At 37.5% G+C, this 17571-nt stretch overlaps 1 protein-coding gene across 10 annotated transcripts in view, besides 1 other annotated feature; it reads left to right on the forward strand.

Moving 5' to 3' along the window:
* The window catches only part of YTHDF3 (YTH N6-methyladenosine RNA binding protein F3), a 44236-nt gene that overhangs the window by 14350 nt on the left and 12315 nt on the right, over window positions 1–17571 (forward strand). For 9 of the 10 annotated variants that reach the window (NM_001277813.2, NM_001277815.2, NM_152758.6 and 6 more), the window contains one exon: window positions 3245–4843. The exons of the other annotated variant lie outside the window; for it this stretch is intronic. In NM_001277813.2, coding sequence (NP_001264742.1) covers window positions 3245–4843 — 1599 coding nt within the window. The remainder of the gene's footprint in view (window positions 1–3244; window positions 4844–17571) is intronic. 10 annotated transcript variants of the gene reach the window in all.
* Window positions 16986–17035: an enhancer, noted in NCBI's record as "active region_27452". NCBI's record gives its function as "activates an Ori minimal core promoter by ATAC-STARR-seq in GM12878 lymphoblastoid cells {active_cell/tissue: GM12878}" and the evidence as "EXISTENCE:reporter gene assay evidence [ECO:0000049][PMID:35858748]".

Genomic DNA, 17571 nt, shown 5'->3' on the forward strand with positions numbered 1-17571 from the left:
AAGGATATGTTTAACTGTTTAAAAAAAGGATGAAGACAGTAGACAGTTTTATCTTTTTTTTTTTTTTTCTTTTTTGAGACAGTCTCGCTTGTCACCCAGGCTGGAGTGCAGTGGTGGCATCGCAGCTCACTGCAACCTCTGCCTCCTGGGTTCAAGCGATTCTCCTGCCTCACTCAGCCTCCCGAGTAGCTGGGATTACAGGTGTATGCTCCCATGGCCAGCTAATTTTTGTAATTTTGGTAGAGATGGGGTTTCACCATTTTGGCCAGGCTGGTCTCGAACTCCAGACCTCAGGTGATATGCCTGCCTTGGCCTCTCAAAGTGCTGGGATTATAGGCATGAACCACGGTGTCCAGCCCAGTTTTATCTTTTAATCAGTTACATATATTCGTTTATACTAGATGAACTTCTCATTTTTATTAAACTTTTGAGAGTTTTTTTAATCACAGTGACTTTTTGTCAGTATGAAGCACTATGAGTACTTTCCATTTTTAGTAGATACTTCAGTGATCAAATTTTACGCATTTGTGTTTGTCTTCGTAGCTTCCAAAGTTTAGTCATTAATTTTGTCAAGATTTTTTTCTTTAAAAACTATTGTTGGTGTATTTGAACTTCCCTCAGTCTTTTCTTTATAGATGTATTTAAATATAGCAGTCAGTACTTCCAGTATTGATTTATGTAAGATGCTACTATTGCAGTTGTAAAAATGCTGTTGATTCCTTTCATGTGAATATTGTGAACATTCTTTGACTATATTTGCAGTTAGAGTTACTAATTATCCATTATAGCTGAAGAATGTGTTCAGTTAGTAAATAGTAACTCCTGAATTTTCCAGTTTTAAATATAGTCAGCCCTCCGTATCTGCAGTGTCTACATTCACGGATTCAGTCAGTTGTGGATCAAAAATACAGTCGTCTCAAGGTATCTGTGGGAGATTGATTCCAGAACCCCCAACGGATACCAAAATCTGTGTATGCTCAAGAACCTTATATAAAATGGTATAATAGTTAGTTGTATGTAACCTATGCACATCCTCCTGTATACTTTAGATGATCTCTGGGTTATTTATAATACCTAATACAGTGTAAATGGTTTGTAAGTGGTTATACTGTATTGTTTAGGGAATAATGACAAAAAAAACTGTGTACATGTTCAATACAGATGCAACTATTCATTTCTTTTTCCCAGCTATTTTCAATCTGTGAATGGTTGAATCCACAGATGTAGAACCCACTGATATGAAGGACTGATTGTGTTGGAAAAACAAATAACAATACAACAATAAAAAATGATACAAATAAAAAACCAACATAGTCTGTCAAGGACTGTACTGTAAAATATACTTTTAACATCCAGTGTATTTGAAAAATGGTTTTGTGATTTTCTTTTAAACAGTAAGTGAGAGTTGAGTTTTTTGGTTTTTAAGTCCAAGCTTTACTGGCAATAGCCAGTAAATCTTTGTCAGAATTATTAATTTAAATGTAACCTCTGTTACATTATATTTAGTTCTTAAGTTATTTTAGTCATATCAGAGAACCATTTCAAAAGACAATATGTTAAGTTAGCTTTCTCATAGACAGTAGACAGTTACAAGAGTTAGATGGGTATACCACAGGTAATTTAATAGTAAAACAAGTAGCTTAGTAATAAAACATCTCAGTTTTCAATGATAAGCCTTTTCAAAAATAATTTAAAATTAGTTCCAGGCAGGATCTATGACGTTATGTCACACATTCATGAGTGGAAAAGCAGCCACGAAATAGTGACAAGAGTGAAATAGTAGAAGAAACGGGTTAAGAACTTTACTCCAAAGAACTTTGACTGTCTCTGTAAATTAGCCTTCAAAATGGTATTGACCCTTGAAAAGTCATACCAGTTGTACTGACAATATTAGTGGATTTTTTTCACTTTGCATAATTCTACAAATTGTGAAGCTCTGTGCGGTGCTTTAAAATCACACCTAAATCACACTTGGGGTGGCTGAGGTGGGCAGATTGCTTGAGCCCAGGAGTTCAAGACCATCCTGGGCAACATGGTGAAATCCTCATCTCTACAAAAAATACAAAAAATTAGCTGGGCATGGTGGCGGACGCCTGTGGTCTCAGCTACTCTGGGAGCTGAAATGGGAGGATTGCTTGAGCCTCAGGAAGTGGATGTTGCAGTGAGCCAAGATAGCGCTGCTGCACTTCTGCCTGAGTGACAGAGTGAGACCCTGTTTCAAAAATAAAATAGAATAAAAGCACACCTAAATCAAAGATCGAAAATCTAGTTTCAGACTTTTTTTTTTTGCGTAAGAAACTTACTTCAAAAGAAATAAGTATTTAAAATACTTTAAAGTATTTTATTTTTATATTGTCTAGTAACAAATTTGAGCTTTTTTTTTCCTTTAATAAAATTTGGTGTCTTGATTTTTGGCAGTTCACTAAATGATAAGTATAGTGAAGGTTGATTTAATTGCAGTAATTCTGGAAAAAATTTACATGAACTCACTATTACTAAATTAAAAAAAACCCAAACCTGTTCTGTAATAGGTTTATTGTGTAAAATTTGGGGAAGAGGAGAGTATAAAGAAAAGTCATGTCTGTTATTCCACCAATAAGAAACTATGATAAGGAATTTGTTTTATGTCTTTTTTTGAAATGAACAAGGCAAAGCAAAACAAAAAGAAATTTGCATCATGCTATAAACGTAATCTTGAATCTTCTCAAGACTGTGAGCATTTCTCCATTTTTTCCTTAATGAAAGTACAAAATCTAATGGTTGAACTGGATTCCATCATATAGATAAGCTGTAATTCCTCTATTATTCGGCAGAGTTGTCTAGTTTATTTAATCCTTGTGTGTAAGTGATTGCATACATCAATTGATTAAAGTACAGCTGGCTGTAAATGGTAATTTTGTGTCCACAAAGTTTATATATTAGCCTTTTGTAGAAATTATGATATTTTTAAATTGTGACAGAGGGCCTGGCTCTTCAAACAAAAATAATACTCATTATACCCCCACTCTCATCCCTGAAAAAAGCCATATAGGTTAGTTTGTAAGAAATATTTTAAGATGTGACTACTCATCAGCAAATTTTTCTGTTGATAAAACTGGATTTGAAATTTTAATTTTGTTTATCTAGAATAGGTACATCTTTTATTTTCATTTACTTAAAACTTCTTGATTTTAATCTTTCAGATTTCTTTTTTTGCTCTTTTAAGAGGACATTTCGCTACTGATTGTGATATTTTGTTTTGCAGAGTAACAGCTATCCACCAATGTCAGATCCATACATGCCTAGTTACTATGCTCCATCCATTGGATTTCCATATTCTCTTGGGGAAGCAGCGTGGTCCACAGCTGGAGACCAGCCTATGCCATATCTGACAACCTATGGACAAATGAGTAATGGAGAACATCACTATATACCAGATGGTGTATTTAGTCAACCTGGGGCATTAGGAAATACCCCTCCATTTCTTGGTCAACATGGATTTAACTTTTTTCCTGGTAATGCTGATTTCTCTACATGGGGGACAAGTGGATCTCAGGGACAATCAACACAAAGTTCTGCTTATAGTAGCAGTTATGGCTATCCACCTAGTTCTCTTGGGAGAGCTATTACTGATGGACAGGCTGGATTTGGCAATGATACTTTGAGTAAGGTGCCTGGCATTAGCAGTATTGAGCAAGGCATGACTGGACTGAAAATTGGTGGTGACCTGACAGCTGCAGTGACAAAAACTGTAGGTACAGCTTTGAGCAGCAGTGGTATGACTAGCATTGCAACCAATAGTGTGCCCCCAGTTAGCAGTGCAGCACCTAAACCAACCTCCTGGGCTGCCATTGCCAGAAAGCCTGCCAAACCTCAACCGAAACTTAAACCCAAGGGCAATGTGGGAATTGGGGGTTCTGCTGTACCACCACCTCCTATAAAACACAACATGAATATTGGAACTTGGGATGAAAAAGGGTCAGTGGTAAAGGCTCCACCAACCCAACCAGTTCTGCCTCCTCAAACTATAATCCAGCAGCCTCAGCCATTAATTCAACCACCACCATTGGTGCAAAGCCAACTGCCTCAACAGCAGCCTCAACCACCACAACCACAGCAGCAACAAGGACCTCAGCCACAGGCCCAGCCTCACCAAGTGCAGCCTCAACAGCAGCAGCTGCAGAATCGCTGGGTAGCTCCTCGTAACAGGGGAGCAGGCTTCAACCAGAACAATGGAGCGGGCAGTGAAAACTTTGGTTTAGGTGTTGTACCTGTCAGTGCTTCACCTTCTAGTGTAGAAGTGCATCCCGTGCTGGAAAAGCTAAAGGCCATAAACAACTATAATCCCAAAGACTTTGATTGGAATCTGAAGAATGGACGTGTGTTTATAATTAAAAGCTACTCTGAGGATGACATACATCGTTCCATTAAATACTCTATCTGGTGTAGTACTGAGCATGGTAATAAGCGTTTGGATGCAGCTTACCGTTCCCTGAATGGGAAAGGCCCACTCTATTTACTCTTCAGTGTGAATGGCAGTGGACATTTTTGTGGAGTGGCTGAAATGAAGTCTGTTGTGGACTATAATGCGTATGCTGGTGTCTGGTCTCAGGATAAGTGGAAGGGCAAATTTGAAGTTAAATGGATCTTTGTCAAAGATGTTCCCAATAACCAATTACGGCATATTCGCTTAGAAAATAATGACAACAAACCGGTTACCAATTCAAGGGACACTCAAGAGGTACCCCTAGAAAAAGCTAAGCAAGTGCTTAAAATAATTGCTACTTTCAAGCATACCACCTCAATCTTTGATGACTTTGCACATTATGAAAAGCGTCAAGAAGAGGAGGAAGCCATGCGTAGGGTAAGAATATAGTAATTTTTTGTTTGGGGTCTTTGTATTGCTGGTGGGGTGCATGGATGGGTATATTCTGAGTTTAAGAACTTTCTGTGAAGGAAACCAACTACTTAAGAAACAACTCTACAAACACCCTTGAAGGTATCTATGTGTGTCCTATATGAACCATTTCTTCTTTCCTTTCCCAGGGTAACTCACGCTGAGTTAGCCTCTTGCTCATTCTTCATACTCCCTAGATGATAAAGGCCATTGGGCCTCAGTGTTTATCATCAAAGCTGAATGAATTTTGGCATTTGTAACTAAACAGACTTCATGAACTAACCAGGGGCTCTAATCATTAATATTATTAATCATACTAACATAGGAGAAAATATATTTAGAGTTTGAAACAACTTTTTTTTTGAGATGACATCTTGCTGTGTTGCCCAGGCTGGAGTGCAGTGGCTATTCACAGGTGCAGTTATGGCGTATAGCCTCAAGTTCCTGGCCCCAAGCAATCCTCCTGCCTTAGACTCCCAAGTAGCTGGGACTACAGACCTGTACCACTGAACCTGGCACTTAAAACAAGTTTTTATTTATTTATATTTTATATATTATTTAATTTTTTTTCAGACAGGGTCTCTCTTGTCCCGGCAGGAGTGTACTGGCGTGAACATGGCTCACTGCAGCCTTGATCTGCTGGGCTCAAGTGATCCTCCTACCTCAGCTTCCCGAGTAGCTGGGACTACGGTCACACACCACCACGCCTGGCTAATTTTTGTATTTATTGTAGATAGAGGGTTTCACCATGTTGCCCGGGCTGGTCTCCTGAGCTCAAAGGATCTGCCCCTACCCCTCTGCCTCCCAAAATGTTGGGATTACAGTCCTGAGTCACTGCACCCAGCTGAAACAACTTTTAAATAAATGTTTTACTCTAATTTTGTGTTTATAAGAAATTACATATATATATATATATATATATATTTTTTTTTTTTTTTTTTTTTTTCTTTTGTGAGATGGAGTCGCTCTCTGTCGCCCAGGCTGGAGTGCAATGGAGTGGTCTTGGCTCACTGCAACGTCCGCCTCCCGGATTCAAGTGATTCTCTTGCCTCAGCCTCCCGAGTAGCTGGGATTACAGGCACACGCCACCATGCCTGCCAAATTTTTGTATTTTTAATAGAGACGAGTTTCACCATGTTGGCCAGGCTGGTCTTGAACTGCTGACCTCGTGATCCGTGCGCCTCGGCCTCCCAAAGTGCTGGGATTACAGGCATGAGCCACTGTGCCTGGCAAAATATGTTTTTAAAACATAAAACTCTTGAAGTATTTTTATAATTTTTATACTTAAAGCACTTGTACAAAATAGAGGCTTTGCAGAATTTGATTCCTAATTCTGTTATATACCCTCTGTAAGATTGAGGGAGACATTCCTGAAATAAAACATGCTGTTTATCCTTGTATTATATTGGCCAGAATATTTTTATTTTTATTTTTTAAAAATATCCTATTGAGTGGCCCATATGGGGATTAGCCCCCCAAATATTGGCTAGACTTTGATCACAGGGCCACAAGAGTCAGTTCAACTAGGGAAAGTTTTCTCTTCCAAACTGTAACGTAAAATTGGGGTCCTATTTTTAGGTGGAAAGAGAAAATGGATGGGCTTTTCTATAGGGGATACATTTAAATTTCTTTTGAAACTTAGTAGGGGTAAAGTTAGAAGCTCCTCCAGTAAATAATGCTTGTTACTATGGAAAGCATGTTCTTATGGAATGCTTGTTCCTATGTAGAAATTAAGATAAAGAGGTAACTTAACTCTATGTAAAATCAGTGATTGTTTCTGTGTGTGAAGCTGAATATCTTGTCTTTGTGGTTGTGTGCAGCACAGGGAAGTGCTTCAACATTCCTCAGAGGGAAGGTGTTGGAATAATGACCCTAGAGCAGTAGTTTCCAAACCTTAAGTCACATAAGTGTTAATTGGGGTGTTTATTGAAATTGCAGATTCTCGAGACCCATCCCTTGGTATATTTGATAAAGGAACTTGCAGTGTACTTTTTAAGTATAAACATTCCAGGTGATTCTGGTGCTAGTTATTGATTGCTGTGTTGGATTGTTGGAAACTTTGCTTTGGAGTAATTAATACAAATGACTTTAAGGCTCTGCTGAACCTTTTAGATGGGTTGCTGAATATAATTGTGTTTTCTCCCACTTAAATATGAGAAATGAGAGAAATGGGATCAAAAGTAGCTACTGAGTCTTTCAGTTTAGCAGTTAAGTAAAGTGGTCATATTGTAACTGCCATTACAAGTAGCGCATCAGGAGAAATGATTTGAGGTATGAAAGGTGGGATGCAAGTTAAGACTTCATTTTTAGATTGTGCTGATTTTAAGATACCTTTGAGAAATATAGGCAGCAAAATCTCTGATTAGGCAGTTAGATGTCCGAGTCACAGATTTGGGGACCTTTTGTTCTTAAACAGTTAATAGCATGGAAGTGGGATGAGATTACTTAGGACAAAGGATACATGGCAAGGAAATACCAACTTTTCTTTCGCCCACCACTGAGGAGATAATCACCCTTCTGTGTCTTTTTTTTTTTCTACCAAACTTGAAAATTTAATCCTGGTTTTGTTATAATGTATTTGGTATGTTAATATTATGTAGTTGTTTCAGGAAATTTTTAATGACAGGTATATATTGTAGCTGTATTATTATATATATTGTAGCCATATACACAACAGTGATTTAAACTTTAATATTACCCTTATATTGTTTCATTGTTTTGTTAAATAAAGTTTATCCTAAAGCCGCCTCCTTACATATTTTAAGTCCAGCCTAAAGGTTTTTCTGTACATGGCGAACTATAACAAGTGGAGGTATAAACAGACCGCAGCCTACTCTTGTGCCAGTGACCAAATTTTGGCTGAATCAAATGTAGCCAACTGTTCAAATAAGGCAAATACCAACCTGTAATCAATCCAGCTGTTTATCTCACTTCCGTTTTCTGTATATCACTTTTCCTTTTTCTGTCTATAAAACTTCCACCACAGGGCTGTGCTTGAATGTCAGAGCCTACTCTGGCTGGCTCTGTGATTCGTGAATCACATTCATTGCTCAGTTAATCTCCTTTAAATTTAATTCAGCTGAAGTTTTTCTTTTGTCACGTTGCTGCCACCCTTTTTAATGCCTAACCCACCTTTGACAGCTCTATTTTGAACCTTGTTTAACTTATTATTTATTAGCAAGCCTTTAGATCCATAAAATGTCTTTGGTCAGAATATGTAAGCAACCATTTAGCTGGGTATAGAATTCTTTCTAGTCAACAGCCTTTTCACTTAAAGTACTATGTATAAGCCTTGCTTTACAGTTATGTGGTTTTATATTATGGAAAATTCTGAGGCCAGCCTACATTTTTTGTTTGTAAATAGCTGTTTTTTTGGTGTGTGCACAAAAGATTTTTCTTTATTTTTACATTATGAATGTAAATGTGAAAACGTGTACAATATGAATATTGTTTTCTGTAATCCTTTGTCTGCAGGCCACTTTTTTCTATTAATGTCAACAAATATGTTGAATCTTTGCCCTTGAGTTCTGTTGGTTCTTTATTCTTTTTCTCTTCATTTGGAGGATTTGAATTTTCCTGCTCACATATTTTTCAGTGTATTTTATTTGTGCTGTTTCTGTGATTTGTGAGGTTTTGCATTCTTCACTGATAGTATTTGTTTGCTTCTATTATCACATTCAGCTCCCCCTCTTAACTCTGTTTTCTTAATGGAATCCCTTGATCCTAGAATTCATCTTGATTTTATTGAGCACAAAAGACTGTGTTTAAAACTTATGTCTGCTTTCTGTACTTAATGTTTTTAGAAACTTTATATCTTTTTTCTTCTAAAAAAAATTAAATATAATAAAATTGTAAATTTCCTTGACCAGCCAGTTTATAGTCAAGCCCTCTCTCTCCCTCTCATTACTGAACCACTGATTGGTTGTTTGTCCCTATAAGACATTTTCCATATTGTCATAATTGAAATTATGTACTATATGATCTTTTAAGATGTTTATCTTTCACTCAGCATGGTATCTTTGCAATTCATCTATGTCGTTGTGTAACTCAATTCTTTGTTCCTTTTTATTACTAGGTAGTTTTCTATTACATGGATGGATGACCATTGTGTCTATTCCATTCATCCTTTGAAGGATATTTGGGATGTTTTCCTTTTGGGGGTAATGTAAATAAGGCTCCTATAAGAATTTGTGTATACTTAAAATATGTATATTTTTAAATCATACAATAAAATTCACTTTTGGCGGGGGCGTACAGCTCTATGAATTTTAACATATGTAGATTTGTGTAACCACCCTATCAGTTAGGATACAGAACAGTTTCGTCATCCCCCAAACCCTCCCTTATATACTAGCCTTTTGTTTTTCCATGCTTCCCCCATGCCTAAGCCCTGACAGCCACTCATCTGGACTCATAATTTTGTAATATCCTTTGTGGTTGTGGTGGCTTCAGGACTGTCTTTGGGCTTTTTGTGTTTAGTCATTGAACCAGTAAGAGAATCATTGAGTTCAGTTATTTGTCTCAGAATGGGTACTTTTACCCTCCCCACCCCGTTTCTTTCATTGCTGGATGCTAGTTGCATATACCTTTCTCTTTGCAAATGTGGAGATGGGAGAGTCATGCTGTAAATTGATTTTACCAGTTAAGTGATTGACCAGCCTGTGGAGATTTAAAAGGGAAAGCCAGTATAATGGGTTGTGCTAGGTATTTGACTGTCCCTTAAGTTTGAAACCACTGTGTTAGAAACCAGTTTTCCTTGCTTGTTAGCTGGTTAGCATATAGGGTACCATGTGTTTTTGTCCAGTTTTCTTCCTGGTACTTTTAGCCTTGTGTAGGCAGAATTTGTATTTTCATTTGTTGATTTTCTCTTTGATATGCTTGTGCTTGCATTTGGACTTCCCAGTATAACTGCTTTCAAATACTTTGGTCATTTTAGTGCTGAAGGAAGGATGTGCTGCCTGTCTATTCTAGGTCCTTCACTTCATTGAAAAGAACAAATTAGTGGTATTTTACTAGGATTTTCTTTACTACTTATGCCTTTTTTTTTTTTTTTAAATAAAAGTAGTTGTAAGTCATTATTAGTGTCTGGTTTTAATATGGCCTTATCTGTCATGTATTTAGCTGGAATTTCTCAAAGCTTCTGGTATGTGGATGTACTATATCCCCAAGTGAATATCTTGGAAACCTTGGGTAAAGGTTGGGTTTCTTAAACTCAACCTTGGGGGAGGCAGCACTAATTGCAAAAGACTGCTACATTTGATTAGATTAAAATCTGTCCATCAAAAGATGCTTTAAAGAAAGTTTAAGAGGCCTGGCTGGGCATGGTGGCTCACATGTGTAATCCCAACACTTTGGGAGGGAGGCCCAGGCGCATGGATTGCTTGAGGTCAGGTGTTTGATACCAGCCTGGCCAACATGGTGAAACTCTGTCTCTACTAAAAATACAAAAGTTAGCCAGGCATGGTGGTGCATGCCTGTAGTCCCAGCTACTCGGGAGGCTGAGACAGGAGAATTGGTTGAACCAGGGAGGTGGATTGCAGTAAGCCAGGATTGCACCACTCCACTCCAGCCTGGGTGACAGAGCTAGACTCCGTCCAAAAAAAAAAAAAAAAAAAAAAGCAGCAGCAGCCATGTTTCTTAAAAGACTAAAAGAAATTTGAACTTAACTGACTAAAGATTTTTATCAAGAGTATATAAGCTAGTGTGGTGGTGCATGCCTGTATTCACAGCTACCCAGGAGGCTGAGGCAGAAGGATTGCTTCATCCCAGGAGTTTGAGACCAGCCTGAGTAGCACAATGAGAGCCCATCTCTAAAATAAATGAATATATTTTTAAAAGAATATATATAGAAATTCTGTGAATTAATTTAAGAAAAGATAACCAATAGAAAAATAGTCAAAGATGTGAATAGGCATTTAATGAGAGGAAAAACATGTAGCTAATAAGAATATAAAGGCTTACGAAAAATGAGGGAATACGAGTCAGGACTACAGTGAGAATATTTTATATCCATTCATTTGGCAAAATTAAGAAGTTTGACAGTATCAAGTATTGGAAAGATTGTAGATCAACAAGACCTCTTACACAGTTGTAAATGAGAATCTAAATTGATAAATCTACTTCAAGAAGCAGTTTTGTATTTTCCTGTAAAGTTGAACATAATCTACCTTATAATTCAGCAGTTGTTTTCTGGGATACATACCTAATAGAAACTTTCATGTATAAGAATGTTAGGAGCAATCAATAGTTTTTTTTTTTTTTCCCCAAAAAAATGGCAGCAGTTCAAATGTCCATCATTAGGAAAATGGCCAAATATATTGGTGCCTGAGACAGTATAACAGAATAAACTGTAGTTAGATGCGAAAGTATTGGTAACTATACTTTTGCTTCATCTTTTTGGTCGTAAATAAACTTTTTGGGAGAGGCCGGGCATGGTGGCTCACGCCTGCAATCCCAGCATTTCGGGAGGCCGATGCAGGAGGATCACCTGAGATCAGGAGTTTGAGATCAGCCTGGCTAACATGTTGAAACCCCTTTTCTACTAAAAATACAAAAAATTAGCCGGGCATGGTGGCACATGCCTGTAATCCCATCTACTCGGGAGACTGAGGCAGGAGAATCACTTGAACCCGGTAGGCAGAGGTTGCAGTGAGGCGAGTTCGTGCTATTGCACTCCAGCTTGGGCAACAAGAGCGAAACTCTGTCTCAAAAAACAATAAAAGTAAAAAAAAAATAAATAAATTTTGGGGGGAATAAGAATATGTGAAACATTCATACCTTTTATCCAGATTCGCTTATTATTAACATGCTTCCCCATCTGCTTTATGGTTCTTTTGAACCACTTGAGATAACTTTCCCCCAGAAAACTATAGTGTTTTTTTCCTATAGGAAAGAATAAGGGTATTATCTTGCATAACCACAATATTCTGTCAGATGATCCATGGAATTGCTTATTGCTTTCTTCTAGTAGTGAATCCAGTCTAGGATCAGGTAAAGGATCTAACTTGGTTACAACAATTTTGAATAGTAAGTTTAGAAGGGTTATACTAACCTGCTTTCCCCAAGTTTGGGGAGATTTTAACTAAAATTTACATTGAGGTCTATAGTTACCGTATCTTTCTTTCATTTCCTTCCTATGTTCATGTTTTTCTTTAAATTCTTGAGCCTGATTATGACAACAAACAAGGACTTTAAAAACCTAATTTCATCTCTTGTCATTGCTAGATATTTTTTATTGACTGATTATTTTGGCAACAGGAGTTCCTCGGCTTGCCTTGCCAGCCAACAAGGCTCTTCCTGTGGAGGAGCCAACCTGTCATATCCTGTCTGCTTATATAAAACTTGGAATGTCAGGCCCTCTATTTTAGAGTGAAGGGTATTGGTGAAGCTTCAAATTGTCGGAGAAATCCATGCTAGTTAGTATTTGTATTATATTTGAAAACATAATTTTGATATATTTGAGTAAAATCAAGCTTGATGAATGAATAACCAATACCCCATTAAAAGAAGCTGTAATTCCGGGTGTGGAAGATAACTAAAAATACAAAACAAAATTGTGATTTGTGTTGTTAGGAAGGATTCCTGTGTAAAAAGAACAGAAAACCAGAAAGTGTTATTGGAAATTAGAGACATAATTATCAGAATTTAAAAATCTGAGTAACCAGATTAATAAAATGTCATGTTTTAGATCCAGTTGATGATCTGAAACTTCAGATTAGAGAAAAATTTCAAATGTGCAGCAATAGAGATGAAAATACAGAATGGGAAAGATGTGATGGAAAGAGAGGTGCTCCAGTATTTCTCTGAAAGAGTGTTAAAAGAATACAGGAAACAATAATCAAAAGGAGGAATGATTAACAAAAACAGATAAATATTTTCAGATGGAATGGGAGGAATACATGAGCCCAGGAGTTGAAGACTACCCTGGGCAACATAGTGAGACCATGTATTTACGTGTGTGTGTGTGTGTGTGTGTGTGTGTGTGTGACCCTGGGCAACATAGACCCTGTATTTACGTGTGTGTGTGTGCGTGCATGTGTGTGTCAGGGTCTCACTCCCATTGCCCAGGCTGGAGTGCAGTGGTGTGATCATAAGTTCACTGCAGCCTCGACTTTCCAGGCTCAGGTGATTCTTCCACCTCAGTCTCCCAAGTACCTGTGACTACAGGCATGCGCCACCATGCCCATCTAATTTTTCTTTGTTTAGTAGAGACAGGATTTTGCCATGTCGCCCAGGTTGGTTTAGAACTTAGAGCTCTGCCCGCCTCAGCCTCTCAAAGTTCTGGGATTACAGGCATGAATCACCACACCTGGCCTTTAGAAAAAATTTAAAAATTAGCCAAGTGTGGTGGCAAGTGCCAGTATTCCAGCTACTTGGGAGGCTGAGTTTGGAGTACTGCTTGATCCTGGGAAGTTGAGGCTGCAGTTAGCCGTGATTGTGCCACTGAACTCCAGCTTGGGCGACAGAAGTCTGTCTCTTAAAAAAAAAAAAAAAAATTAAAGGCTGGGCTTGGTGGCTCAATGCCTGTAATCACAGCACTTTCGGAGGCTGAGGCGGGAGGATCACTTGAGGTCAGGAGTTTGAGACCAGCGTGGCCAACATGGTGAAACGCTGTCTCTACTAAAAATACAAAAATTAGCGAGGCGTGCTGACAGGCACTTGTAATCCCAGCTCCTCGGGAGGCTGAGGTAGGAGAATCACTTGAAACCAGGAGGCGGAAGTTGCAGTGAGCCAAGATTGCGCCACTGCACTCCATCCTGGGCGACAGAGCAAGACTCCGTCTTAAAAAAAAAAAAAAAGAATAAAAAAGGACAAAGACAAAATCTTTAAAAGCTTCCTGAGTAAAAGACAAATTACCTACAAAGAAAGGAGAATCAGACTGTCATCAGAATTCTATAACCCTGGATACTCAAATTTAAAATCTTATTTTTGGGTTGAGAGGGGTGGAGAGGAGTGGTTTATGGAATTATACCTGTAAAGATGAGTGTTTAATTATATCAGTGAGGTGGGTTGGAGGGTCGGGGGAGTAAAAGAAGTGTAGACTTAAAAGAGCTTAGCCACGTACTGTTCATGAAACCATACTTAAAATGTTTCAGCAGAATGAAAAAGAATTCAAGAAAGAACAACAACCCGTAGCACCTGGTTATACTAGAACAAATATCTCTCAGCAGGGACCCTATGTGCATTTTATGTCACACAGGTTGGCATTGTTTATAGAGGATCAGAACTTTTGGCCATCTCATCCTGCCTACTTAATTCGCATTATGGTCCTTCACGCCTGACAGTGTGGGCCCTTGGTTGGGAACCACTGACCTTGGAGAATTGAAGGAAGCTAAAAAAAAATAAAATTTCTAGATAGCCTTTGTCATATTGGAAGATAACCGCTGAAAGAGCAGGCTTTGCTCTCTGCTGAATCCCTAGCACCTAGAAAAATGCTTAGCACACAGTAGGTTTTAAGTAGACATTTGTTAAAAGTGGAAATGCTTTGAAGAATCTCTTCCCATTTGCAAAGTATGAATGTGTAGAATTTTTTCTTCTTTATAGGTGTAATCGCTGTTACTTGATCATTGAAGTTATATAAAATGCTGTCTATTGGTTTTTTTCATTTGTAGAAATGGACAGTAGGATATAAAAGATTTAATTATATTTAGAACAAAATGTTATGAGATGGAATGGGAAGAGTTTAAGGAAGATTAAATCACTTATTGTCTAATCTTTTTGACAGTAACATAATTGTTTAAAGATATATCAGGAACGGTACCTTAAGCATATTGTTTCAAATCATAAGCACAGCCACTGGAATAATTAAAAATAGCGTGGCTTGTAGTACGGGAGAGGAGAAGAGAAGTGGGATATACCATATTCAATGTGATATGGTAAATTACTCATGTACAATGGGAATCGATAGCATCTGAATTGATAAGCAATTTTTGTATTAGTATGCTATTTAAATTTATAATGGCAACCCCTCAGAGGAACTGAATAATAGAAGGGAAAAGAAAAAGAACTAATAAAAATCCTGAGTATATTTGTCCAGTATAAATTCAAATAGTCTGCATAGCAGTAGAATCTACTTTTGACTATTGAGGTGATTCTTTCTTTTGAAATTTTTCCATTGTTGTAGTGAATGTGAGTCATTTAAATCCCCCTGTATTCCTTCATTCTTGTAAATCTTCATTAGTCAGGAAACATAATCCAAGACTATTTTTGGTTCAGTTGCTTTTTTAATTCCACATAGGAATAATTAAGAGTTTTCAATTGCCTATAACATTGAGATAAACTTTCAAATCATGGCATTACCTGTTCCTCCAGAAAGAGATGGAGCCCTGCCGTTTATGCAGAAATAAGCAAGGCATAATTATAATAAAATCTCTAGAATTTTGTGTGTATTTTAGTTCTTTATGCTGTTACATAGTTGGCCATTTCTTTGTTTTCTCTTCTTTCTTTTCTTTTCCTTTCCTTTCCTTTTCCCTCCCCACTCCCCCACCTTCCCTTCTCTTTCTTTTCTTTCCAGAGCCTTGCTCTGTTGCCCAGGCTGGAGTGCAGTGGCACAATCTGGGCTCACTGCAGTCTCCACCTTCGGGATTCAAACGATTCTCATGCCTCAGCCTCCCGAGTAGCCAGGACTACAGGTGTGCGCCACCATGGCTGGCTAATTTTTGTATTTTTAGTAGAGATGGGGTTTCACCATGTTGGCCAGGCTGGTCTCAAACTCCTGACCTCAGGTCATCTGCCCACCTCTGCCTTCCAAAGTGCTGGGATTACAGACTTGAGCCACCGTGCCTGGCCAAGTTGGGCATTTCTGAAGATTTAAGTTTTAGTGCCTGATACATTTTTTTTCATATTTGGAATAACTTTAAGATGAGATGATGTTAGGTCTATCTCAGAGTACTCAACTTTGTGTTAACATAGAAGAAATTACTTCAAAAATAGTTATACTTATGACAACAGCAAACATTTCCCTGGCAGTTTTTAGTAACGTGGATTGAAGTGTATTCTATTACCCTTTGGTAAATTTTTCTGTGGTTATAGTTCTCTGTTGATGAAAAAGTTTATTATAATTAACAGAAACAAATTTAATATATAAAATCTACTTTTGTAAAATTTGAAGAATGTTTTTCTAGAATGTAAAGTTGGGCCCAGTATGTAACACATTTGATACAATAAACTTTTATGTAACATATTTAATTAAATAATGTAACATATTTGATTAAATAATTCCTTGATAAAAACATTGGTATTTTGAATAGTCAAGATGATTGAGTTTTTACTGCAGTATTACTCTATTCTGAACTTGGTAAATATTTTTTATGAGTTAGAATTGGAAAGGGGGTGCTTCAATTAACATATTGATTTGTTTTTATTTTTTCTCAGATTATTAATAGTGGTTATGTTCCAATGCTGATAACTTTATCAAGTTAATCATAGATCTTTGGGAGATACTTCTTCCATACTATAATTGTGAGGTGATTAAATTGGACAGAATTTCATTTATAGTCATTTCTTGGTATATACAGGGGATTATTCCAGGACCCCCGCAAATACCAAAATCTGCACATACTCAAGTTCTGCAGTCGCTTCTCCCTCCATATAGGCATGTTTTACATCCCTTGAATACTGCATTTTTTTATCTCTTTCGTTGAAATAATTCGTTGTAAGTGGACTCCTGCAGTTCACACCAGTGTTGTTGAAGGGTCAGCTGTGTTTAATTTATCTTTTTCTTCAGCAAATACATGATAACTTGAGTAGCAATATAATTAACCTTAGGTGGATATGAAATATCTTATGTTTCCAGAAATAAATTATTGAATTATTCCTGTTTAATAGTTTATTTTAAATGTGACATTCAGTTTCTTAATTTAAGGTATGTGTGTCCAAGGAAAGAATATTTTTTCATGAATGAAGAGCTGTAGTTACCGAAGATAAGAGTTATTCTTCCATAAGGGTCATTTGAGGTGCTTAACTGACTTTACCTGTTTCTTGGAATGGCTTAAACATTTTTTTTTTAATTTATAAAAATCTGCTGGGTATTTTACCCTACTCATACATGAATACTGTTGAAGTTAGGGAAAGATATCACAGCTCCATTCTCTGTACTTTGGCCTTTGTTGTATTAAATGAGTAGGGATAGTGTTTGGTCTGTTGTGAATTGCTGTCTCAGTTATTTACGACTGTCTAATAGATTTCTCCAAAACTCATTGGCTTAAAACATACAGTTTACAGTTTTTGCATGTCAGAAATCTGGGCACAGCTTGTCTGGGTCCTCAGCTTTAGGGCCTCTCACAAGGCTACAGTCAAGGCAGGGCTTGAGGTCTCATTGTGAATACTCTGCTGGTGAAAAATCTGCATCCAAACTCACGGTTGTTGGCAGAATTCAGTTTCTCAAGCGTTGTTGGACTAAGAGCCTCAGTTCCTTTTGGCTGTATGCCAGAGGCTGCCTATACTGTGTTCCTTGCCACATGGGACTTTCCCACAGGAGGCTTGCTTCATCAAAGTGAGCAAGCTGAGAGGGCAATAGAGTAAGCTGAGGAGGCAGTAGCTACCAGGACAGAAGTCACAGTCTTTTGTAACTTAATTACAGAAGTGACACTCTGTCGCCTCGGCTGAATTTTTTTTTAAATTTTTAAATTTCTTTTTCTTTTTTTTCTTTTTTTTTTCCTTATTCTTTAATTTGAGATACTGGGGATTGAACATCT

This window comes from Homo sapiens, chromosome 8 (genome assembly GCF_000001405.40).
Source record: "Homo sapiens chromosome 8, GRCh38.p14 Primary Assembly".
In the NCBI taxonomy this organism is placed as follows: domain Eukaryota; kingdom Metazoa; phylum Chordata; class Mammalia; order Primates; family Hominidae; genus Homo; species Homo sapiens.